Source organism: Homo sapiens, chromosome 2 (assembly GCF_000001405.40).
Source record: "Homo sapiens chromosome 2, GRCh38.p14 Primary Assembly".
Taxonomy (NCBI): Eukaryota; Metazoa; Chordata; class Mammalia; order Primates; family Hominidae; genus Homo; species Homo sapiens.
This window is the reverse complement of record NC_000002.12, coordinates 71,496,275-71,520,275: the sequence shown is the minus strand read 5'-3', so window position 1 is coordinate 71,520,275 and position 24,001 is coordinate 71,496,275. Positions and strand designations below refer to the sequence as shown.

The 24,001-nt window shown below is 50.0% G+C and overlaps 1 protein-coding gene across 14 annotated transcripts in view, besides 6 other annotated features; it reads right to left on the bottom strand.

The window, feature by feature from the left end:
• DYSF (dysferlin) overlaps window positions 1–24,001 on the bottom strand; it is a 233,203-nt gene that overhangs the window by 166,488 nt on the left and 42,714 nt on the right. For 8 of the 14 annotated variants that reach the window (NM_001130978.2, NM_003494.4, NM_001130977.2 and 5 more), the window contains exons 4-10: window positions 16,957–17,062; window positions 8,355–8,469; window positions 6,355–6,560; window positions 4,525–4,653; window positions 4,034–4,096; window positions 3,237–3,287; window positions 68–98 (exon numbers count right to left, since the gene is read on the bottom strand). In NM_001130978.2, the coding sequence (NP_001124450.1) occupies window positions 68–98; window positions 3,237–3,287; window positions 4,034–4,096; window positions 4,525–4,653; window positions 6,355–6,560; window positions 8,355–8,469; window positions 16,957–17,062 (701 nt within the window). Of the gene's footprint in view, window positions 1–67; window positions 99–3,236; window positions 3,288–4,033; window positions 4,097–4,524; window positions 4,654–6,354; window positions 6,561–6,943; window positions 7,037–8,354; window positions 8,470–16,956; window positions 17,063–24,001 lie in introns of all 14 variants that reach the window. The other 6 variants (NM_001130979.2, NM_001130981.2, NM_001130980.2 and 3 more) reach the window with 1 other exon arrangement.
• Window positions 7,764–8,263: an enhancer, noted in NCBI's record as "H3K4me1 hESC enhancer chr2:71739143-71739642 (GRCh37/hg19 assembly coordinates)". NCBI's record gives its function as "activates a minimal SCP1, AML or CMV promoter by ChIP-STARR-seq in primed H9 embryonic stem cells {active_cell/tissue: H9 hESC(primed)}" and the evidence as "EXISTENCE:reporter gene assay evidence [ECO:0000049][PMID:30033119]".
• Window positions 12,722–13,221: an enhancer, noted in NCBI's record as "H3K27ac hESC enhancer chr2:71734185-71734684 (GRCh37/hg19 assembly coordinates)". NCBI's record gives its function as "activates a minimal SCP1, AML or CMV promoter by ChIP-STARR-seq in primed H9 embryonic stem cells {active_cell/tissue: H9 hESC(primed)}" and the evidence as "EXISTENCE:reporter gene assay evidence [ECO:0000049][PMID:30033119]".
• Window positions 13,222–13,723: an enhancer, noted in NCBI's record as "H3K27ac hESC enhancer chr2:71733683-71734184 (GRCh37/hg19 assembly coordinates)". NCBI's record gives its function as "activates a minimal SCP1, AML or CMV promoter by ChIP-STARR-seq in naive and primed H9 embryonic stem cells {active_cell/tissue: H9 hESC(naive and primed)}" and the evidence as "EXISTENCE:reporter gene assay evidence [ECO:0000049][PMID:30033119]".
• Window positions 14,483–14,777: a silencer, noted in NCBI's record as "tiled region #7639; HepG2 Repressive non-DNase unmatched - State 20:ReprD". NCBI's record gives its function as "represses a minimal TATA promoter and a strong SV40 promoter by Sharpr-MPRA in HepG2 cells {active_cell/tissue: HepG2}" and the evidence as "EXISTENCE:reporter gene assay evidence [ECO:0000049][PMID:27701403]".
• Window positions 16,470–16,969: an enhancer, noted in NCBI's record as "H3K4me1 hESC enhancer chr2:71730437-71730936 (GRCh37/hg19 assembly coordinates)". NCBI's record gives its function as "activates a minimal SCP1, AML or CMV promoter by ChIP-STARR-seq in naive H9 embryonic stem cells {active_cell/tissue: H9 hESC(naive)}" and the evidence as "EXISTENCE:reporter gene assay evidence [ECO:0000049][PMID:30033119]".
• Window positions 19,329–20,007: an enhancer, noted in NCBI's record as "H3K27ac-H3K4me1 hESC enhancer chr2:71727399-71728077 (GRCh37/hg19 assembly coordinates)". NCBI's record gives its function as "activates a minimal SCP1, AML or CMV promoter by ChIP-STARR-seq in primed H9 embryonic stem cells {active_cell/tissue: H9 hESC(primed)}" and the evidence as "EXISTENCE:reporter gene assay evidence [ECO:0000049][PMID:30033119]".

The window sequence follows — 24,001 nt, the reverse complement described above, 5'->3', positions numbered from 1 at the left end:
AATGAGTGTCCCCAATCAGCCTCCAGAACCAAAATGCAAGGATACGGCCAAAGTGGTGAGAACTCACGGGGCTCTCTGTAAATGGTGCCCACGTCCATCTGCAATCAATGAGAGGAGACACAAATCAAACTCTTGCCGCCAAAGCGTTAAATAAAGTGTGGTGCATTATATGATTCCATTAAAAACCATGTTTTTGAAGAACATTTGGAAACACAGGCAGTCAACATTTGATACTACATGAAAAGAAAATGAAATATATTTTGATCCCAGTTTGATAAAGAATGCTTATGTACAGAAAAGAAAGAGGAAAGGAGGCTGGGCGTGGTGGCTCATGCCTGTAATCCCAGCACTTTGGGAGGCCAAGGCAGGTGGATCACTTGAAGTCAGGAGTTCGAGACCAGCCTGACCAACATGGTGAAACTCCATCTCTATTAAAAATACAAAAAAAAAAAAAAAAAAAAAAACTAGCCGGGTGTGGTGGTGCATGCCTGTAATTCCAGCTACTTGGGAAGCTGAGGCAAGAGAATCACTTGAACCCAGGAGTTGGAGGTTGCAGTGAGCCGAGATCATGCCATTGCAATCCAGCCTTGGCAACAAGAGCAAAAATCCGTCTCAAAAAAAAAAGAGGAAAGGAAATTCAACACAATAGGACTATGTTATCCCTGCATGGTAGATTTGGATTATTTTTATTTCATTTTTTATTCCTTCCTGTGTTTTACAATTTTCTATTAAAAATCCACAGATGATTGGGATGATGATAGTGGGGAAGGCTGCAGGGGGCAGCAGGGGCAGGGGGCAGGGAGTATATGGGAACTGTGTACATTCCACTTAATTTTTGCTGTGAACCTACAACAGTCTGTTTTAAAAAGTCGTCTTTTTTTTAAATCATAGATTACTTTTATAATTAGATACAAGTAAAATAATTTTTTGACTTAACCCTTGGGTTCTCAGAACAAGACTCAAAACATAATTAAGATTTAATTTGTTACAGAATGACTTGGGCTCAAGCTCATTCTTTTAAAAAATGCTTCTCCAGGTAAACAGACTTAGTTTTTTATCTTGTGACTTCTTCCCACAGGCAATGATTTGAGAAGACAGCGCAAAGACAAAGAAATCTCACCCACTGATCTAGCCATCAGGTCCAACCCAGTAATTTTTTTTTTTTTTTTTTTTTTTTTTTTTTGAGATGGAGTGTCGCTCTGTCATCCAGGCTGGAGTGCAATGGTGCGATCTTGGCTCACTGCAACCTCTGCCACCCAGGTTCAAGCGATTCTCCTGCCTCGGCCTCCTGAGTAGCTGGGATTACAGGCGCATACCACCATGCCCAGCTAATTTTTGTATTTTTAGTAGAGGCGGGGTTTTACCATGTTGGCCAGACTGGTCTTGAACTACTGACTTCAAGTGATCTGCCCACCTTGGCCTCCCAAAGCACTGGGATCACAGGCATGAGCCACTGCGCCTGGTCCCAGCAATTATTTATTGGGCAGAATAAATAATTCTAAGGTAACTTCTGACAACAGGCAGAACCAAGCCCCTTATTTTAAATTCATATTTAAAATACAAATTTAAAGAAGGAAGGCATGATATACTTGGATAGAGGGGAGAGGGGAAAATAAGCTTGTGCTCTTTCTTTCCTTTTGAGAAATCCTTGAAAATTTCAAAATGAGAAAATTAGTAACAATTACATCAAATTACATTAAAACACCATGCAGGCCAGGCACGGTGGCTCATGCCTGTAATCCCAACACTTTGGGAGGCCAAGGTAGCCAGATCACAAGGTCAGGAGTTCAAGACCAGACTGACCAAGATGGTGAAACCCCATCTGTACTAAAAATACCAAAAAAAAAAAAAAACTGCCAGGCGTGGTAGCACACGCCTCTAATCCCAGCTACTGGGGAGGCTGAGGCAGGAGAATCACTTGAATCTGGGAAGCAGAGGTTGCAGTGAGCTGAGATCACACCACTGCACTCCAGCCTGGGCGACAGAGCAAGACTCCATCTCAAAAAAAAAAAAAAAAAAATCATACAGGTCTCCTTTAGTCTGTGCAATTACTAGTTACCTTTACTTTACGTAATCTGTTAAATCCATTGGCTCTCGGTTCTCAGAAGAGGACTATTCACTTCTGGACTGTCTGGGACAAGTGAGGAGGCTGGGGCAGGGTTCCCCTCTCTCCACTGCCTCTCCCTCCCCCAGGGATCCATATCTGAACCCCACTCCCATCCCAGGGTGAGAGTGATGTCAGGGCAGAGAGCGCTGGGTCTCACTGGCCCAAGATGGCCAGGATGAGGAGGAGGGCTGCCCAAACTCAGATCTCACACGGCCTTCCCAGAGGTGGGGGAAAATCCAAATTACAAATAAGGGTCTTGATTCTGCTTGTTGGAAATAAGGGAAGAAGTACTTCCCTCCCCTCTCTTTTTGTCAGAACACTTACCTTAGAAAACTTGTAAATATATTACACTTTCCCTGTCTCTTTGAAATGCATCTTTTTAAGAAACTAAATAAGCCTTTTGTCAGCTTTAGTATACAAATATCATTCTCAGGACGTCTGAAATATAAACACCAAGGGAGACGGCTCCCCTGTGTCCCAGCTTCTGTCGGAAGATAGGAGCCTAACTCCCGTGCGCACCTTGCTCCAAGTTGTAAAACTACTTCCTGTCATAAAAATATGAGTTTGATTTTTGTTTGGTCTTCTGGACACAACAAATTAGCTAACATAGATGGTCACCCCGATTACCAGGTGACTTTGGGATGAACTCGGTGTGACCAAAGGTGCTATACATCTTTTTAAGAAACTAAATAAGCCATTTGTCAGCTTTAGTATACAAATGTCATTCTCAGGAGGTCTGAAATGTAAAGTCCCCTGACCTGAGGGTGGGGCATAGCTTCTCTTGAGAACGTATGTGGTGGGCAATGGGTTGGACCCGCTGGCTAAATTAGCGTGAGATTTCTTTCTGTCTTTGCAGCATCTTAGTGGATCATTGCCTGTGATGTACATCTCACTCTGGTTTAAGGCCTCTTCAGTGACAAAAAGTGCTTTCTTTCTCTTCTACCTTTGTGGAGAGGTTTTCTGGGGTGAAAGGAGATGCTGTGCAGAGGGCTTGGCGTTGTTCTTTGAAATTATATTTTCCCAAAGCAGAGAAACACAGGATCTCTGGAGCCCCTGCCCATGGTCCACAGAGGCTCCACCAACACGGAGAAGTGAGAACTGACTGCTTTCATAGAAAATAAGCAATTACCCGGAACTCCCCGAGGAGAGCATCTGTCCTGAGAGAACGAGAGTCTACCACCTGCAGAGAAAGATCATGGAAACTCACATTCACAGGGAACATGTGGCCCACACGGCCAACCCAATAGCTCTTCCCTCCCAAACAATAACTGCCAACACTTCACACTTACTCAATTCCAGAGACTGTTCTAAGCAGTGTTTAGCCCTCACAGGAACCCCATCAGCAGATACTGTCATTATCCCCATTTCACAGGTGAAATAGGGGCACAGAGACTTGTACAGAAAACACAATCCCTACACGGCATAGACAGAGCTGGAATCCACTCTAGTGCCGGAGCCTACACTTAGAGCCACTAGGCTGCAGTGCGCTTCAGAGGAGATGGGGGAAGAGCCAAGGCCCAGAGAGAAAGAGAATCTCAGTCAGAAGCAGGCACGTGGATTAACAAAATAAGATGGAACCTTAAATGTTCATTGCCACAAGTGATTTAAGGACCCTGACCTGAGGCCCCAGGGGGATGCTGAGCAGTGGGCTCTCCCGCAGCTGCTGCCTGCCAGCTGAGCTGTTGCAGGCATTTCTGTGACCCGTAGAGCCTGACTGTGAGTTACTCCACATCATCCATATGTCAGGCTTTAACACGTCTCCCTCTCACGCACATACTCACATACACACCGACAGGCACACACACGCATTCACGCATTCACACTGACGTGCACATGCACACACGTGCACAAACACACACGCGTGTGCACTGACACCTATGTGCATACATACAGCCCACGGAGAACACTTTGACTGCTGAGACATACCGTGATAAAGATGGGCTCATCAAACAGCTCCCCAGGAGAGTCAAACAAGTTGAAGAAAAGAGTCTGTTGGTTCAGAGCAAAGAGAGACATATCAGTGCCTGCTGATCCCTCAGGCCAGGGAGAGGGAGGACCACCACCCCCAAGCCTCCACGCCTAGCAGTTTAGTCCCCTCAGAAAATGTGGATTGGGCACAGTTCTGGGGATTGGACAAGTTCTGGGGTGATCTGCCCCTGGCCTCACAGACGTGGTCATTTCAGGGTTGGGTGGGTGGCTGGCCCTATAGGGTGACAGGGATGTGGAGCAGCAGGAGAAGTAAGAGCAGGAGCCCTTTCTCCAGTCCCACAGATAACCTCCTTGGGAGCCAGCACATCTCACCACCCAAGGTCAGCGCCATACGTAAACACTCTTGAATGAATTGCCAGGTGTCTGCACTGGGCTTCCAGATTGGAAGGCCCACCAAGGTTCTGGCCCTCATGCCCCATGTCTCCCACCTCATTGAAGAGTGGGCTGTTTCCCTTGTGGATCCGCGTCCGCTTGGTCTGCCCTGCAGCGGTAACCTTGACCACAGGCTTGATGTTCACCCCCGGCAGCTGGCGCCCCTCGATCACCTGGACCCTGATCTGAAAGCCAGAAGGAGGAAAGAGCAGGAGGAAGGGGGAAGAGTTAAGGACCACCCACCATCCACCCCAAGAGTCAGAAATCTCAGGGACCATCTCACCACTGGCTTCTTGGGGAAAGTATTAAAAAGGAATTAGGAAGAGCATTATACGAACTATCATATTTTCCCACCAAGGCCCCTTACATCTATAAAATTCCACAGCTCCATAGAAGAGCTGCCAGGCTGCCCCTCGTCGGCTACCCACATTAAACCCCAGGGGTGGGCAGATACAGCCCCCATTTATGTCATTCAGCCATTGGCACAAGCCCCACCCGAGACCCCATTGATACTGGCATTTTTAAGTGGCTTGAATATTCTTTATTGACAATTCCCTCAGAGGTCGAACTTACACAGTGAAGTGACCCCAGAAATAGTCTTTATTCTTTATAAGATGCAATGCTTTCTTACATTCTGAGAAATAAATTAAGAATTTTTGCCATTGAGCTGTAAGTAAATGAAGACTTCAAGAACGTCTATGCTTCCAAATATTAGGTAAGATATTTTAAAATATGAAATTTTACAATATTAAGGCAATTCTATGGAAAAAAATAAGATATTTACTGGCTCCACTTTAGAATCAACTGTTATTTACTGACCAACTGTTTTTTTTTTTGTAAATTGCATAATATGGGAGGATATATTCTTAATAGCAATGGGAAGATGGATGAGTGATTTTTAATCTCCTCATTTTAATATATTTTCCAAAGTGTCTAAAATAAACATATGGTATTTCCATAAAGAGAACAAAGGCAATATGAACATGTTTGGGGAATAGTAGTATGGGGGCTAGAATTTTGTCTTTTGGGGCAAACAGTGGTTAGAGCTAGGACTTCTGCTTAAATTACCATGATTTAGAATAGAAATATATTTTTGCAATTTGTTGCACTTAGTATTATAAATAGAGATTTAAGATTCTTGCTTTTAACCTTAAAAGTAGTTGTAAAGAGTTAAATATCACTGTGTGACTACATCAAAATAGAAAATTCTTTTGAAAAGAAAAAAAAAATAGGCAAAGGACCAAAGTTAAAAGCAAATAAAATGGGATGGATTTTTGGATAAAAATGTGTCAAAGTGTTCATATTAATAGCTTTTATTCTGTGATGAGCTTGAACAAATTCAAATTCCACATGACTCTCAGAAAAATCCATGGCTATATGCAGGGGGATAGATATAAGGAGAAAAAAAAGATGTTAGACAGAGCTTCTTTGAGGTAAGGATCTTGTTAAAATGCAGATTCTGGTAGAGCAGGTCTGAGTAGACTCTGCATGTCTAACAAGTATACAGGTGATGCGGAAGGTGCTGGACACAGACCACACCTGAATAGCCAGGAGCTTGCTGGTTGGATATACCCTGGTTAGAAAAATCAGGTTTTTCTCTGATCAGAGATGCAAAGACATGCTGAATCTCTGCAGTGACTTTTTTTTTTTTTTTTTTTTTAAGCGCAAAACCACAGGTCTCGGCAGAAGCTTATTCTGTGGATGTAAGATGTGAACTCCCTGTTTGGCATCTGCCCAGGCCCAGGGAAACTACAGATTCCCCCACAGGAGGGCCCTGAGGATCCCACACACATCTTCCCCTGAAGCTGGACAAACCAGGCAGGTGCCTGGCACCCGCAGCTGATGGCTGAAGAGGAGCCTGGGGTCAGAGAAAGCCCGTTCATCACCTGGAAATCCTGCGGTTTGTCTGACAGCAGCTTTCTAGATGTAGGCGCACTTCGCTTTCTTTTGATCCCGGGGTAGTGGGGCGGAGGACGTGAAGGTAGTTTCCTTGGGGTGGTGGGAGCCCCCGGGCCTCCGCTTTGATCCAGGAATGGCTCCGCCTCATCTCCAGTGAGTCCCTGGTCCTCTGTGTCTTCCTCTCCTCCTGTGTCTAAGAGGAGAGGGCCCTAATGAGGCCTGGATCCCTCTGGCCCTGCCCCTGCCCCTGCCCCTGGGACCCAGCCCAGGGGGCAGAAGATCCAAAAGGCATGGGCCCTAAGACTCATCCCCTCTTCCTCTCCCTCCTCCCTCCCCATCAGTGAGCCAGGATGGATAAGGTAGAAAGAAGAGGAGCTTCCAGCAGCTGAAACTTGAGGGCAGTCAGTCCAGTTAGTCAACAGGAAGAAAACAGAATGGCCCTAGCCCTCCCACCCGCCAAGTCCTGCAGGAGGAGTCCTCTGCCACCTGGCCCCGCTCCAGCAAGCTGACCATGGCAGCTAGTGAGACAGTTACAGGGAGGGTCTGGGATCAGGACAGTCCTGGCCCGTGTCTCACCCGTGGGGGCCGGCCACTTCTTTCCAGAGTATCTCGTGTCCATGGTGCTGTCACTGAGCAGGGACCAAGTCTCGGCCCGGCTCTGTCCCCCGCCTGTCTTGTGGGCAGGGCATAACCCCGGGAGGGGAGGGAGGAGGTTGGGGTGAAGGAAACCAACCTACTGCACCTCCATCCCCAACCCTGCCTTCCCCGCCCACCCCAGCCTGGTGCAAAGCTCAGAAATAGCTGTGGAGCCCAGTGGCACCTGTTCCTTCTCACCACCTCCCAGGCGTGTCTGGAAGCCTCCACTGATTGGCCTGCACCTAACTCTGTCAGATCCACCTCAACACAGTCCCAGAGTATTCGGACCCTCCCTGCTCCCCACCCTCTGCCACCACGGGCACCTCTCCTTCCTCCCCTGAGCCCACTCCAGCCACACAGCTCAGGATTACCAGGTTACTCCAGTCCAGACTGATCTCCCATCTCTAAGCTCGGACAGTGCTGAGCCCCAACAAGACAGCTCTGCTCTGCCGACCTCACCACAGAGCCCTGTGCTGGGCTGGCCCCAGGTCAGGCACAGGGCACACTCAATTGAGACATGGGCTGCTCCGGTTTTAATGCTGTGCTTGCTTCTAGCTCCCTTCACTAAGAGAAAAACTCTAGAATCTTTCCCATGGGCAAGTGCCCACTAGCCCGTCTATGTAGCTTCCTCCCAACCCCAGCAGGCTGGACCACATGGAGGCTCCCACACCCAGGCCCACCAGTGGAGAGCCAGCCACCCCGGGCTGGGTCCTCGCTTGACCAGCCTGGCAGAACCAAGTGAAGAGAGCTGAGACAGGCACAGCACTTAGCTAACTTAGTCTGCTCCCTTCACAAATAATCTATGGGCCCAGAGAGGGAAAGTAATCAGCCCAAAGTCACACAGAGACTCAGTGTCAAAGGCAGGACTGGAACCCTGAAGTTCAGTTCAGGGCTCTTTCAAGAAAAAAAACTAGTTCTTTTGTCACACACCATCACCAAAGGCCTGCTGGGTGCTGAGGTAGGGAAACATTCGGTTCTGGGGAGTTTGTGGGGCCTCAGGTATCACCTGGGTCAGACCCCATCCCCACACACCCTTCTTGGAACTGCACAGCTCAGAACACCCAGCCTGGGCTCAGCCCCGTCCCCAGGCAGCTGGGGCTTGGAGGCACCCTCACATTACTCCCTGCACCGCCCAAGGGAACGTGCCTGCTGCCCCTTCTTTCTGCACAGCAGAAGGCAGCCCTCAGGACTTCCCACCCACTGCACCCTCTTCTTTCCAGGCCTGGGCAGCCTCCAACCTGGGGAGGGCAGCAAAGGCTGGGAAGCCTCGCTGCAGCTCCCAGCCCCCAGGCTCAAGTGCCACTGCCGGCCTTCTTGCTGGGGCCCAGCCAGGCCAACGTGGGCTACCCACCTGCCACTACATCCAGGTCAGGCAGAGTCGGGGAGGGCTCCAGAGGAGTAGGGGGCGGGAACAGGGGCACAGCTCCAGGCAGCGGTGTGTAGGACACCTGCAGGACCAGCGAGGCCTGGAAGAGATGAGACGTGGGGGACAGGTTGGTGCGCTGGCCTCGGACCACTGCCCTCCAGTATCTTCCCTGTTTCTGGCATCCCTCCACCAAGGAATATGGCTCTGACAAGAGCCAGGTTTGCAGGAGGCTGTGGCAAAGCCACCCCAAGGGACCTATCAGCATAGTCAGGTGGTTCGAAGCACAGAATCCGGGGTCAGGTTCCACCACTCAGGAGCTGTGTGACCTTAGGCAAGATCTGTGACCGCCCTGTGCCTCAGTTTCCTCATCTATAAAATTGGGGTTAGTCATAGCAATAGCACCTTCCTCACAGGTCAAATGTGGAGCAAATTAGTTGATGTAGCACGTAGTGGACTTCTGCAAATGAATCAGGGATCCAACCTCACCTGCAGGATTTTTCCCACTATCCACTTGGCCTGTCTTCAGGAAAATGTCCCTTTGGCCACTCTGCTCAGTCAATGGCTTGCCCCTACTTCTCCAGGGACAACTCAGCTTTGCTCTGCTTTGCTCAGGCTGCAGCTAGCACTGAGAGGGTCTCAGTGTGCTGCCAGGCTTGCAGAGCCCTCTTCCTTCCTGCCCCCCAGCACATCCTCAGCTGCCCCGGCTTGCACCGGCCAGAGAGGAGAGGGACTGGTGACATCCCTCACAGGCGAGGTCGGGTTGCCCATGCGCCCACCCCACCCCAACCCTCACCCTGAACCTGGGAACGGCACAACCTCAGCAGGATCTGCAGCCTGGCTGCTCCCGGGCCTGCCTGAGCCCTGTCCCGGCTCCACAGGTCCAGCAAGCCTCCTGGGGCAGCCAGTCTCTCAAATTAGTGCAACGGATACTCTAAGAAAGTTTGGGAAGCACAGAAAGCTTAAAGAGGAAAAATAAGGCAAAAGAAAACCAATTGTCCATAATTCCGTGACTCCACATTCCAGTTCTCTCCAATCTTTCAAACAAATAGTAGACAGATCTGCTGTATGCAAAATGATTTTCTTTTACTGAATGTCAGGCAATAAGCTCTCCCCAGGTTTTGACAAACCCTTTATAAACACAATTTTTCCTGAGGCATAATGTCCCTCTGAGTGGCTCTGGCACAGTTCACTGGACCTTTCTGCTGAATGATGTTAGGGACGTCCAGGGACTCACAGAGCAAACTCAGTCCCAAGAGAGAAGGGCCTGAAGGCTCCCGACATACTCAGCTCTTGAGCTTGAACTCTCCAGACTGGGGCCTGGGGACAGCCACACTAAGGAGAGCAGCACTGGTGGAAAGCAGGGCTCAGAACACTGAGGAAGGAGACAAGAGCTAGCTCAGCATCCCAGGAGACCCAGGAGGAGGTCAACAAAGGCAACTGAGACCCTTGAATTCCCTCACCCAAGGAATGAACATAACCTGCCCTGTGGGTTCCTGAATCACCACCAGGTGTCGCCACGTGAGCAGCCAGTCCCTTCAGCTCCTGCAACCCGTGGAGGGGAAAAGAAGAAAGTCCTCCCCTCCGCCCAGATGCCACACCTGACTCCTAGAGATGCCAGTTCAGTAGGTCTAGGGTGGGCCTGGGTATTTGCACTTTTAACAACTGTCCTGGGACTTTCTTCCACTTCAGCAAAAGGTAAGTTGGGCTCTTTGGAGAAATAACTACTTCCAGGGCTAGGGCAGGGAAGATACAAGATGAGCCTGGACCATCTTCTTGCACCAGAAAGGAAGGAAATGCTCAATGAATGACTGATTCTTAAAAACACATCAAAAGAGCCTGGGCGAGGTGGTTCATGCCTGTAATCCCTTTGGGAGGCCGAGCCAGGCGGATCTCTTGAGGTCAGGAGTTTGAGACCAGCCTGGCCAACATGGTGAAACCCCATCTCTACTAAAAATACAAACATATTAGCCAGGCGTGGTGGCATGCACCTGTAATCCCTGCTACTCAGGAGGCTGAGGCAGGAGAATCGCTTGAACCTTGGCGGCAGAGGTCGCAATGAGTCGATCACACCACTGCACTCCAGCCTGGGTTACAGAGCAAGACTCTGCCTCAAAAACATAAAATAAAATAATAAATAAATAATAAAAAGTAAAAACATGTCAAAAGGACACAGAAGCCAACTTTCAAGAGCTCCCACAGGCCAAATCTGAGACAATAGAAACATGAAAATACATAATAACAGTAACAGATTAAACAATTGAATAAAATAGAAATACCCAAATCCATACCACAGTAAATAAATAGGAGAGGAGAAAGCTTTTCCTGACCACGAAATGCCAACTGACTAATGCAGGAAAAATAACTGAGAATATCACTATTTAGCAATCATCAAAGCAATAATGAATTCAACCAAGAAACAGCAGTGATATTAAAACTCCTGGGTACGGCCAGGTACAGTGGCTCACAACTATAATCCCAGCACTTTGGGAGGCTGAGACAGGAGGATTTCTTGAGCCCAGAGTTCAAAACCAGCCTGGACAACATAGTGAGACCCTCATCTTTACAAAAAACAAAAAATTAGCCAGGCATGGTGGCCCACGCTTATAGTTCCAGCTACTCAGGAGGCTGAGGTGGGAGAATCACTTGAGCCTGGGAGGTCAAGGCTGCAGTGAGCCATGATTACACCACTGCATTCCAGCTGGGCAACAGAATGAGACCAGTCTCAAAACAAAAACAAAAACACTTCATGACGGCTGGGCACAGTGGCTCACGCCTGTAATCCCAGCACTTTGGGAGGCCGAGGTGGGTGAATCACCTGAGGTCAGGGGTTCAAGACCAGCCTGGCCAACATGGTAAAACCCCCCATCTCTATAAAAATACAAAAAAAATAGCCAGGTGTGGTGGCATGCCCCTGTAATCCCAGCTACTTGGGAGGCTGAGGTGGGAGGATTGGTTGAACCCGGGAGGCGGAGGCTGCAGTGAGCCAGGATCGTGCCACTGCACTCCAGCCTGGGCAGCAGAGTGACATACCGTCTCAAAAAAAGTAAAAATACAAATACAAAACAACAGCTCATAGAACTCACGGGTAAAGGTTAGATGACAAAGAGGATATTACAAAGTCACAAAATTCTGACATGAGAAAGGGGAGTAGATGAACGATTAGCGGGGACACCCAGCAAATGCTAGTGTAATCAAATGATCACAGTTAACAGTGTGGTAACCAAACGAATCACAATCATCCCACCTGATAGGGCACAAAGACAGCCACGCAGCATCAGTGTTACACTCACACCCAAGACACACAGCCTAAATCTAAACACAGGAAACATCAGACAAAACCAATGTGGGGGACATTCTACAAATAATTGGCCGGAATTTCAAAAAAATATCCAGCTACAAGGTTATAAAAGTCAAAGAAAGACTGAGGAATTATTCCAAATGGAAGGAAACTGAAGAAACAAAACAACTAGGTGCAACACATGAGCCTTAGTGGGATCCTTCTGCTACAAAGGACACTGGGAAAAATGGATGAGCCGCGACTGGGGTCTGGGGATTAGACGAGAGTGCTGTGTCCATGTTAATTTCATCGTTTGGAAGGCTGTGTTGTGGTTATGTAGGAGAAAGTCCTTAACTGGAGAACACACACTCGAGTTCAGAATGATGGGCCAGGAGGTTGGCACCCTCATGTCAAATGGCTTAGGACAAAATACTCTTTGTACCATACTTGGCAACTTTTGTCTAGATCTTAAATATTTCCAAATAAAAGGTTTTGAAAATCTGCTTCTTTTTAGGAATAGCCACAGGAATCTCCTTAGGCAGAGACAAATAAAGCCCCCTGCCCATCCATGCTGACTCCGGCCCTCCAAGATTAGCATGAGGTCAGGACCAGCTGCATAATGTGCAAGCCCAGCACAAATGAAAATGCAGAGCCCCTTATTCCAAAATCAAAAACTAGTTGGGCGTGGTAGCCATGCTTGTAGTCCCAGCTATTCAGGAGGCTGAGGCGAGAGGATCACTTGAGCCTACTTGAGCCCCGGAGGTCAAGGATGCAGTGAGCTTTAAGAATTTCAAGATGGAAACAGAAGAGAATTAAGCCAAGCATGAGGCCCTTGTGAGCGCAGGGCTCCGTGCAGTGGCCCCAGAGGCCAGGCCTGTGGGGGGTGTTTGTTTGACTTGGCCTGAGTTGGGCCCACATCTGAAAGATGAACACTGAGGGCCCTGCCTGACATGTCTGGCCTGACCCATTCATTCATTAACTCACATATTCATTCCCTCTACGTGTGTGTGTGTGCGCGCACACGTGCCTGTGTGTTGGGCACCTGCCAGGGCCAAACACACTGTTCAAGATTCTGGGGACGCTTCCATAAATAAGGCAAAGGTCCCTGCCCCCATGGAGCTGATGTCTTGGCAGAGAAGACAGACAATAAATAATAAACAAAATAAATACATAAAGAAGAGAGTATGTTAGAAAGAAAAGAAAAAGTAAACCAGAGCAAGAAGGATCAGGGGAATGAGACATTTTGCAGATTGCAGTGTTAAATCAAGCGGTCTGAGTGGACCCCATTGAGCTGAGGAGAGTGAAGCAAAAACTTGAAGGGGCCACACCTGGGCTGCCCTTGGGCCTCTGACCTTGGAAACAGGTCCCCTGGAAGAGCGCCCCTTCCTGTTTCTAGGGGCTCACCCTGCTATCCACTCACTGCACACCACCTGGGGGCTTCTATACACCATCTCTGTGAGAGGTGGAGCCGCCGGAGTGTAACTCTTCCACACCGTGCCCAGTGCCAGCTCCTCAGCACTGGGGCTTGGGAGCAGCCCTCTCCGGGATGCAGACAGGAGCAGCCCTCTCCAGAGAGAGGGCTCCAGAGACCACTTAGGCAGCCCCTTCTGGGGTTTCCTGAGCATCCGGTGTTTCTACACCGACAGCTCCACACCAACCTCCTGAAGAACTGGCACCATCCGGGTTGCTCTGGGCCCTTGAATGAGACTTCCAGCACAGGTCTGTCTTCTAGCTGCCCATCAGAGAGCCACAGGGACATCCCTGCAGCTCCAGAGGCTCTGGAGCTCAGGGTCTAGAACAGACCTCAGCACTAGGAGGTGGGCCCCAGGGACCATGGCTTCAGGATCTGATGGTGAATACTGAAGTTCTTTGGCTCTGCTGAGGCTCTTAAGGGAAAGTGGGCGTGTCAGTGGGCCCCACCCAGGACCAGGACCTTGTACCCTCACCATGACATCACAGCTCAACCCCTGTCTCCTTCTCTAGACAAATAGAGCTAAGATTTTCTTCCTGGGGGATATATGTGAGCCCTGTGCTCTCCCGGACTACACAACCTGGGCCTAGAGCTCCCAGTGGGACCTTCCTCAAGGTCCTCCACGTCACGGGTCCCGCGCCTGACAGCCCAGGTCCTCAGTCTCCAACTCAGCAGCACTCCAGGGTTCTCCACGCACAAGGCCATTGTCAGTCAATCGTGTGTCCACCAAACACGCTGCCCTGGAGCAGGGTAACCTCGGTCGCCCTCGTCTGCTGCCTTGGGGCCCACAATCAACGAGATCAGCAGAACTTGAGACTCCTGTCTTGCCCCAGGCTAAGAGGGCTCAGGAAACTGAAGGCGAATGACCTCCTCAGACCCTCCCTGGCTGTGACCCTCCTCCAGGTTATGTGGTCAGGCTCTGGGGTCCTTCGCCCACCCTGCCATGCCCAGCCCATTGTGCGCCACCTACTTCCTCGACCACAGCTCTCCAACACTGAGCTCATCAAAACCAAAACCCAGACCAGCCCACTCTCACCTCCCCTAACACATGTGTCCCGTGTGGACAAGACAGGCCTGATATGTGCGTGGCCCTCACTAACCTCTCCCTCAGACAACCTCCAGAAGCAGGCAGAGGGTAGCTGTGGCCCTGAGCTGATACAGGGTTGGTTGGCAGAAGCTCCAAACCTTTGAAGAAAGCTCAGGGACTCACTGAGCACTGTCCTGCCCGCCTCAGGTCCCCGCTCCCAACACACAGTGCCCTCCTGGCTTCCCTGACCCACACACCACTGGGCTTCGTAGGCTCTTGTCCTCCTTTGTGATCCGATTCTGGCTTTAAGGCCCGGGTGATGCCGACTGAGTTTTCTCCATGTATCCACACCTTCCTGAGTGAGCTCCTCTTAAAATACATCTGAGAGGATGCTGCTTCTTTTCCTCCATGTGTGTCCTAAATCCCCATGGCCTGGAGGTTCCTCCAGGACTGGGGGAGTGTTTTCCCCATCAACCTAGCAGCTGTCAGAGGGTAGATTTGGCACATAGCCAGATCCTCCATGGCACACAGCCCAGCGTGCTATATCTGAAGGGACTTGGGTGAGAACACTGAGCAAAAGGCAAACGGGGTCTGCAGTCAGCCTGCGGCAGGACTCCCGGCCTCCCCCACGCCTCTCAGTCTGCCAGAGTTTCCTAAGGATCCCACTGGCTCTGTGTTCACTCGTATCACCCCATCAGCAGGTTCTTTGGCCCTTAGAGGCAACTGAGAGCTACAATGAAATGGGGGCACCTGGCATGCTCTGCTGATTGGGCTTAGCTCAGAAATGAGGTCTCAGTGAGCGGCCAGCGAGAACCCTCAATGTTGTTGGCTGTCTGTCCCTGCCCAGCACACCCCCAGTTATCCCTGCCTCGCACTACAGTGCAGCCAGCCCAGGTCCCAGGCAGGAAGCCCCAGCCCAAAGGGACATATGACCTGTCTGGGGCTGCACTGTGACCTTAATGCCATCACATGGACTAGAATCTAGTCCTAGACCCTCTGTACAGGTGAGGACTGCCTCCTGGGCAACAGGGAGGAGGCTCCCCAACTCCATTTCCAGCCTGTGCTCAGCTAGTGGGGCTCAACCCAGCAGGGTCCAGCACTCTCTCCCATCCGCCACCTCCTGGATCTCACACACTCTTTTTGGAGACACGGTTGGTGAAGGATTGTAAAGCTCTGCAGACAGCCAGGAATCCCCAGCCAGGGAAGAGAAGGCAGCAGGCTCCCCGCTGGTAAACATGAAGCCCAGACAGTGTGGGAACAAGGAGCAGGAGGAGGCGAAGGGAGGTATGGAGGGGATGGCTCCAGCCTGACACGGCTCATGAATAGGGACCAGCTATGGAAAACTCTGCCTCGGGGCTGGACAGGCCTTTGAGGTTGGAAGGGACCGAAGGGCAGGAAACACCAGAGTCATGGATGCACACAGAGCTGGAGTGGAGAGATGCTGGTGTCCCAGCAAGGAAGTGAGAACCAAGCCTGACCCCAAGGCTTTCTCTCGCCAGCTGCCTTGATACCTATCATCCCTCCATCTGTGTCCCATGCCTTGAGGGTTGGGTCTGAGCCTCCTCAGGACCCCTGAAGGGGTAGTTCCAGAACTCCTTGGGGTCCTCCTTGACCACAGGGAGTGTTAAGAGACAGGAGGCTGAAACGGAGGATGAGAGGGGACTCAGGGTGATGGAGACAGGCTCAGTGAATACTGCTCTAAACCAGAACATTCTGCCAGTGAGCCCTGTGTGGGAAACAGATGGACTTTCCTGGGAAGTGACATCTTCCATCAAGGGAGCAGCCCAGCCATCCCCAGCCTAAGACCCCTTGGGAGCAAAGTCCAGCACCGAGAGGGCAGCAGACTGAGAGTTCAGTGAACCAGGAGTCCATCCACAGCCATTCCACCAGAGGGTCTAGGGGATGAGCTCCTGGTCCAGGCCCCCATGGGAACAGCCACTGACTATGTGACTTCAGTGGTTCCTTTTCTCTAGGTCTCAGCATCCAGTCTCGTTCCATTCAGAGATCTGCCCAGACCGGCTACTTCCTGACTCACCCAGCCAGCCAGGAGCCCCGGCCTCACACACCCGCCACGGGGCAGTACCACTGCCCTGTCTGAGACAAGTCAGGGCCTGAATCCCCCAGGCCTCACAGGGCGGAAGTAGTTCCAATCCATGGTTCCTGGTACATCCTGGAAGGCGGGGCTAACCCACAGGAGAGGTCAGGAATTCTACCAAGAAGAGAGAACCCTACAGGGTATATTTAGCTCACTAAAAATAACAGGCAGAGAGGAGGGCTGGGAATTGTCTGATTGGACTTGGGGGGAGCACTGAGAAGGCCAGGGAGGGGCAGGAAGAACAACGGAGGAAAAGGAAGAGGGTCCTGGTGGGCAGGGGAGAGGGCTCTTTCCCTCCATCCCTCATGCCCTGTGACCCAGATGGTTCAGAGATTCTGAATCTGGAGAAGAGGGCTGGATGGTGAGGGAGGAGGGGAGGTCTGCCAGGGAGACTAGGTGGGCTATAGCCAAGGCTGACCAGGAAGCTGGGGACAGGAGGTGGCCAGACCGGCAGCACCAGACCAAGGGGCAGGCCAAGCTGCTGCGAGCCAAGGCTGACTTGAGCCCTGCAGGTGGGGTCAGGGCTCCCTCTGCCCTTCCCATCTCCCCTAGTCCAGTGCCCCTCCAGACACTGCAAACTCTGGTCAGGGAGGGCCAGGCCTGCTTCAAGGGAGCTGAAGTCAGATGCATGTCTGGGGTCAGAATGGCAAGGCCCAAAGAGGAAGCCACCTGGCAATGCCTTGGACCTTAACCTGGCAGAGGCTGATGGGCACTTACCCCTGTGGGCTGCTTCTTGGTGTCCAGCAGGGGGGCATTGAAGCTGGCGGACAGACTAGGGGTGGCGAGGACCTCTCGGAGTGGGACCTTGGCTTCCCCCAGGAACCTGAGAGGAGAGAGAAGTCAAATGTAGAAAACTAGCCTAAGGCACCCTGGCTCTTCTGCCAGACCCCTCACTGCCACCACTCAGATGAGGCTGGTCTGCCTAGACCACACAGTCACCCAGCACCCCACGAGGGCTCTCCTGCACCCCCACACCCAGTCACCACCATGCACCATCCCTGGAAGGCCTGGCCCCTAGGGAAATACTTGGGCATGGGAAGGGATAAGAGATACCTTTCCTTCTCCAAGGTCCACCTTGACCCCTTCCTGCCCCTCCCCAGAGGCCCAGCCACGCCTCCCCAGAGATGAAGGGTTGTCTTCCCATGAGCCCTTGACAGTCCACCAGGTCAGTATCTCATCACCCCCACACTGCCCCTGAGCCCCAGCAGATCATATGACCCATGTCTACACAGGCCGTCTGTATTGGAATCCCAGGGCTCCGCCGGCAGTGATTGATTGTACATGAAAAGCAAGGAAACCTTCCTGTCTTCAGGGACAGGGAGAAAAGGATATTGGGGCAGGGGAAACAGGCTCCACTCCTGAGAGGCCCTGGGCGGTCCATACCACACGCACCAGAGGCTGCATTTCTGACTGACAGGAGGGGTGGGGCACATGTATGGGCTATTAGGAAAGAGTAGGTCAGCAGCGCGATGGTTGGCACATGCTCCCTTCAAAGAGAGCAGAGGAAGCTATGAAGTGGGCTCACCATATAGTCTGCCCCTCTGTAGAGGCAGCAGGAAACCATGGGCAGTGAGTGGCCTGTGACTGTAGGAACCTGTCGCCTGGTGTCTGTGTGTGACTTCTGCTTGCCTCCCTGAGAAATGGACTTACCCTGAACATTACTGTCAGGGCACAAGGCCATGTTAGGCTGGTGAACAGCCACAGGTGTACTTATTAACTGCTTTTTCCTGATGGATGAACAGCACACCTGTCATCTGGGCTCATCCCTTTTCTGGTCTCTGCAAATATTGATTGGAATATAGATTTTTATGACCCTATCAAATAAAACTGCAACCTCGACCTAACGAGGTGATTTTTAAAACTGACTACTCACACTGAGATACTACTTCACATCCATTAGGATGGCTATTATAAACACACACACACACACACACACACACACACACACACACACACAGAGTCATGGAGAGAAAAATCACAAGTGTTGGCCAGGATATGGAGAAACTGGAATGCTTGTGCATGGTGTGTAGGGACGTAAACGGTGCAGCCACTGTGGGAAACAGCATAGCAGTTACTCAAAAAATTAAACCTAGAATTAGCATATGATCTAGCAATTCCACTTCTAGTTATATACCCCCAAAAAAATTGAAATCAGGGACCTAGATATTTGCACACCTGTGTTCACAGCAGTATTATTCACAATAGCCAAGAGGTGTAAGCAAACCAAGTCTCCATCAACAGAGGCACAAACAAGATGTGGTCCATCCATACAATGGAATATTATTCAGTCTCAAAAAAGAAGATTCAGACACATGCTACAACATGGATGGACCTTGGAGACATTCCGCAAAGTGAAATCAGCCAGTCACAAAAAGACAAATATTGTATGAGGTAGCTAGAGTAGTCAAATTCATAGAAAGTAGAATGGTGGCTGATACAAGCTGGGGGGAGGAGGAAGTGAGGATTTATTATTGAACAGTTACAGAGTTTCAGTTTTAGAAGATGAGAACATTTTGGAGGTGGACGGTGGGAATGACTGCATGACATCATGAATGCATGTAACGCCACTGAAATGTATGCTCACAAATGGTTAAAATGGTAGCGTTTATGTCGATTTATCATAATAAAACTTAAAATTAAAAACTAGCCACTTATTTAAGCTTCTCAACAATGAAATCCCTCTTTTTCCATCCTTCTTGAAAGCAACAGACTCTGCCGCCTTGCTCGTGCCCTTGCTAGCAAGGCAGTAAATGTAATATACGCTCAAGGTCCATTTTCTAACCCTTTCTGAAAGAAGGGGATAGAGGGGGAGAGATATTCACTAATATTCAATCCAGGGTTTGAAACCCCCTCACAGTGTTAGGAGCCATATTTTCTAGAATGTAAACTGATTTGTGTTCCATTCCTTCACAGCATGGAGCAGGATTTTTACCATCACTTAATAAGCTGGGGCTCCTGGAGTGTCTCCATCCTAGGGGCTGGTGCCAGAAGGCACCCGTCAGTATGTTGACTGAATTGTCCTCAGGACCCAGACAATGTCAAAAAGACCAGACAGTAGGTATAGAGGATGCATGAGTCCATGCGACATCAGAGATCAGAGTAACCCTGCCCATCACGAGAAAACTGGGGTGGCAGAGGGGAGTGACTTGTTCAAGCAGGAGAATGGCTGAGTCAGCCCCAGGACCCGGGTATCTAGGTTCCCTGTCAATCCCCCAGAGCACTGAGGCTTCTCTCCTTGGGGACTGGGAGGCAGGGCCCAAGGAGGCCTCATGGACCAGAGAGCTGTACATGGCAGCTGGAGCTCCAGCTTAGGAGCCCTCAGGACTGAGCAGAGCAGAGTTAGCAGCCAGGTCATAGGGTGCCGAGAAAAGCCAGACCTCCTCTGCCTCCCTTGCTGGTTGTCCAGCCCTCCCAGCCCAGGGAGAATTCCCGGAAGTGGGTCAGGGAACAATGGCAGGAAATGCAGAAGGAAGTAGCACCCCCACCCCTGCCAGCCTGGGGTGCCTCTTGGATGCCCAAGAGACAGCAGCCAGGGTTGACTGCTTGTTATTTCCTCCCTGAAATGCTTTTTGGGGCCATGAAATGCACCCCCAAACCCTGCTATCGGCCTGGGGGCAAGTCCCTCCAAGAAGGGTGGCTTCACCAGCCCCCACTCCTGTAGAAGGAAGGGCTGGAAATAGCAGGGCAGGCTGCCTCTCCCGCAGTGTAAGGAGCAGGCTGTGGTAGTCAAGTTCACAAGAGTCAGAAATTCAGAGCCTCCCAGGAAGCATTGCTCAGGGAGGAGAGGTGGGGGGCGCAGAAGAGGGACCCCTGGGAGGCTAGAGGGGTCTGAGGTTGGTCACAGAAAACCCAGAAGGCCACTCATCATTCATCCATTCATTTCACAGGGATGGAGGAGATGTGGCTTTATCCAGGGGCCTCTAGGTCTGGGGCCCTTGAGGAGACCCGCCCCATCTGGAGTCAGACTGAAGCACAGGCTCCAGGGCCAGGTGCCCTCTGCTCATCAGGGATGCTGCACTCTCAGTCGGCACCAACCAGGGGCCTGGCAAGTGGCAGACAGGATTCCAGAGGCTCAGATGAGGCAAGGAGGGGGCCAGGGGTCCTGCACAGGGCCAGCTATGAGTGTGTGCAGAGCAGAGCCTACATGGGTGGAAATGACACCCGTGGGTCCTGGCCACACCCCCTGCAGCCCACATGGAGGAAAACACCACAGGTGCTCCCAGCCTCCTCAGACCTCTTGGCTAGCTGTGCTCTGGAGCCATTGGAATGTGGGGGGTGGAGAAGTGTGGGGACCGAAAGAGCCGCTGCCAACCCAAAGAAAGAGAAGGCAGGAACTGGCATGGGCAAGGGAAGGAGAGGCCAAGGCAGCTTGAGGTCTGACAGGGCACATGCTTTTCCTCCGTAGAAAAAGAACTAGTTCCCAAACTCACCATCCAGGGGTGCTACTACTGCCGTATGGCAGAAGGGAAGGAGGCATGGGTGGCCCCCAAACCTTAGCCTTAGGCAGCATGTGGGAGGGTGGGAATCATGGTGGCCAAGTCAATTTATTTTAATAAAGCACAAAGAAATCAAAACAATTTTATTTTAAAACATTGGGTCTTATTACATCATTGTAAGAACAAAACAAAACACAGGAGGCAATTCACGTGTCCATCATAGACGACAGGTAAATAAAGTACAGTACATTCATACAATGGAACACTAGACAGCTATAACAATAATGGGGAATTATTCACTTACATGGAAAATCTTCAAGATACACTGTTAAGTGATAAAACAAGGTGCAAAAGAGCATGTATAATAAGCTACTTGCTGCATAAAAAAGAGGAAAGTTAGAATCTATATGGGCGATTAAGCAATAATATAAGATCTCTGGAATGATCCATAAGAAACTAAGAAGAGGGGTTACCTGTTAGGGAACAGCAAGAACTGGGCAGATCAGGGACAAAGAGGCCAGGGAGAATTTTCACTGCGTTTTTAAATATAGTTTCTGTTTTTACAACTTCTTAAAGTTTTTACCAACGTAAAAAATTAAATTTAAAAACAAAACGTAAAAACTCCTTAAAAATCTTAGAATTTATTCATTCAACAAATACTTATTTAGTATGTCCAACAAAATACAGTCTCTGACCTCATGGAACTTGCATGCTAATAATAGCAACCCTCCTATTAATGAAACCGGCTTTGCAAAAATTATAAAAATGAGAGAATGATGACAGTGAAAGAGATCTGACCCAACCGACTCCATCTTGCCTTTAATCTCCAAAATGCCCTTATTCATTCCTGGGCATAGGCCAGCTAACCATAGAAAATTTTAGTTTATAGTTTAACTTTGAAACAAAGATGAAAACAGCCCTTTCCAGAAACAAACCTCGTCCTTGCCTGGAGACCAGAGTAACTTTGTAAAACTCAGATTAGCCACAAGCTTAGGAATTATGACTCAGGAGTCATGCAGCCAGAGGCCACGGGATTCCGAGCCTCCCCAGTTGCTCCTATGGATAACGTCACTATTGTAGAACCTAAGATTGGTGTTTGAGGTATTTTTCAGACACTGCATTCCTGCTGGCACTACCTAGACTGGTAAACTGGCTCATCTGGTCATGTGGTCCCCACCCAGGAATTGACTCATGGCTAGAGGACAGCCTCAACTTCCTGTGATTCCATCCCTGACCCAACAAATCAGCACTCCTATTCCCTAGCCCCCTGCCCACCTGTGGCAGGCCAGATCTCGCTAACAGCTGAACAGGCAGGTCTTCATAACAGCTGTTTCAGCACTGACTGAGTGGTGAAGTTAAACATTCAAAGCTGATAGAGCCAGTGCCATCACACAAAGGCTGGAATGTAACAAAAGCCCACCAAGAGTTTTGCCCAGGCCTTTCCGGGGACTTGAAGCATGACAAGATAACAAAGGAATTCTTAACAGGACCCATTTAGGACTAAACAAGTTTTTACTGGGGGTCTGAAGAAACTCCCCAGGCCTCAACAATCAAGTTTTATTGGGGGTCTAAAGGATCTCCCCAAACCTCCATGATTTAGCAGGAGACAAGCGAAGGATAATCACCCCTGGCCCCTAGACCCACCTAGATTAAGTAAATTTACTGAGGCTCCAGAAGAAGGTCTTCAAAACTCAGACCTTAGTTTTAGTTATAGATTCAAAGAAGTTAGACACTTAGGTCTTTAGAAGAATGCACGCTCACATGTAGAGATATAGCTTAGAAGGTATATAAGCTCTGGAAAACTTTGTAATTTCGAGTTGATCTGCTGATATTTTCCAGGCCTTCTGCCTGTACCTGATTACAGAAATAAACTCTCTTCTTTCCCAGTTCATCTTCATCTCATTATTGGGCCATGAGAATAAGCAGCCAGACCCTCGGTTTGGTCTGGGAACACACCTGTATTAGTCTGTTCTCACACTGCTAATGAAGATATACCTGAGACTGGGTAATTCAGAAAGGAAAGAGGTTTAATTGACTCACAGTTCAGCAGGGTTGGGGAGGCCTCAGGAAACTTACAATCATGGGGGAAGGGGAAGCAAACATGTCCTTCTTTACATGGCAGCAGCAAGAAGTACAGAGTGAAGTGTGGGAACCACTTTATAAAACCTCAGATCACGAGAACCGGGTGAAGATAACTGTCCCCATGATTCAATTACCTACCACTGGGTCCCTCCCACAGCACATGGGGATTATGAGAACTACAGCTCAAGATGAGATTTGGGTGGGGACACAGCCAAACCGTATCACCACCAAACAGTCTTTAAAAACTCTAGCCTCTGAATTTTCGAGGAGGCTGATTTGAGTAAGAATAACACTCCAGTCTCCCATTTAGCCAGCTCAGTATTAAACTCTTTTTCTGTTGCAATTCCCCTGTCTTGATAAATCAGCTCTATCTTGGCAGCCAGCACGATGAATCTGTAGGGCAGTTACATCAACTAGGTACATATTAGGACACTAGTCCTGTGGGGTAGGTACTGTTATTAGTTCAGTCCACCTCACAGACAAGGAAACTGGGACTTGGGAAGGTGTTTGACTTGCCTGATTTCACACAAATAACAAGGCTGACAGAGCCTGAGGCTTTGCTTTGAACTCTACAGTGAGCCTCCTGTGCCATCTTAGAGGCCCATGAGTGCATCATGAAAGAAACAGAAAGGTCATTGGTTTGCTTAATCCGTGGGAAGGGGAGCCCAGTCTATACATTTGACCTGGCCCATATTTTTTTAATCTTATGCCAAACTATGTTTTTTGTATTTCTGATGCTTCGACATCTGGAGCCTTGTTGACCTTGGAGGCACTCTCTTCCCAGAATTCCTGGAGATGGTAAAGGACTCCTCACTTACCAGCAGGCCTTTCATATGCAAACCAGCCACTCTGAGCCCATACCCCACACCTCCTCCACAGCCTGTCACACTCAGGGCCCACATTCCCCTGTCCTAAGCACCATAGGGCCAGGTTCCAGCAACTCAGGACAGCCCCTACCGTCTATGTCGGTACATAGACAGCTATATGTCTACGTGTAAGTGTGCCCAGAGCCCACAGAAATTATTCAAACTGGCCAGTCCCCAGGCCTGTTTACCCTGCCTCGCCCATTCCTTCCCTTGGAAACCACAATAAAGGCGCTTGTCCCCGTGTTCCCCTCGCTCTCTCTGCCTCCTGATTGACCCCTGCACTGATTCTGGCACTGACCCCAGCACTTCCCTGTGTGGCCCTGCACAGCGTGGCCTCCCACTCTGCTGCCCAGACTGGTCTCAAACTCCTGGGCTCAA